This window comes from Homo sapiens, chromosome 16, assembly GCF_000001405.40.
Source record: "Homo sapiens chromosome 16, GRCh38.p14 Primary Assembly".
Taxonomy (NCBI): Eukaryota; Metazoa; Chordata; class Mammalia; order Primates; family Hominidae; genus Homo; species Homo sapiens.
Genome location: NC_000016.10, coordinates 59,943,584 through 59,944,169, shown reverse-complemented (window position 1 = coordinate 59,944,169; position 586 = coordinate 59,943,584). Strand labels below are relative to the sequence as shown.

The window sequence follows — 586 nt, the reverse complement described above, 5'->3', positions numbered from 1 at the left end:
CTTTGGGAGGCCAAGGAGGGCGGATCATGAGGTCAGGAGTTCAAGACCAGCCTGACCAATAAGGTGAAACCCCGTCTCTACTGAAAATACAAAAATTAGCTGGACATGGTGGCTCACGTCTGTAGTCCCAGCTACTCAGGAGGCTGAGACAGGAGAATCGCTTGAACCCAGGAGGCAGAGGTTGCAGTGAGCTGAGATCATACCACAACACTCCAGCCTGGGTGACAGGCAAAGACTCTGTCTCAAAACAAACAAACAAACAAACAAACAAACAAAGCCATCCAATCATGTAGCTGTCCCAGTTAGAATCCTCCAACATCTCACCATTTTACTCAGAATGAAAGTTGTTCTGCTTGCAATGCCATGTTAAGATCTGGCTGATGGTTTTCTACTTGATCATCTGTTATAAATCTCATCTTGCACCCAACCCCTGGCTGCTGTAGAGTTGTTCCTTGAACATCCTTGGCACCATCTCTTCTCAGATCCATTGCATTTGTTGTTCCTACTGCCTGGGACGCTTTACCCTTAATACTTTTAAACAGCATATCCCTTCCTCTCCTTGCTTAAATTCATCTTTTCAAAGATC

At 45.4% G+C, this 586-nt stretch overlaps 1 long non-coding RNA gene across 1 annotated transcript in view; it reads right to left on the bottom strand.

The window, feature by feature from the left end:
- The window catches only part of LINC02141 (long intergenic non-protein coding RNA 2141), a 198,621-nt gene that overhangs the window by 109,804 nt on the left and 88,231 nt on the right, over positions 1 to 586 (bottom strand). The window lies entirely within an intron of this gene.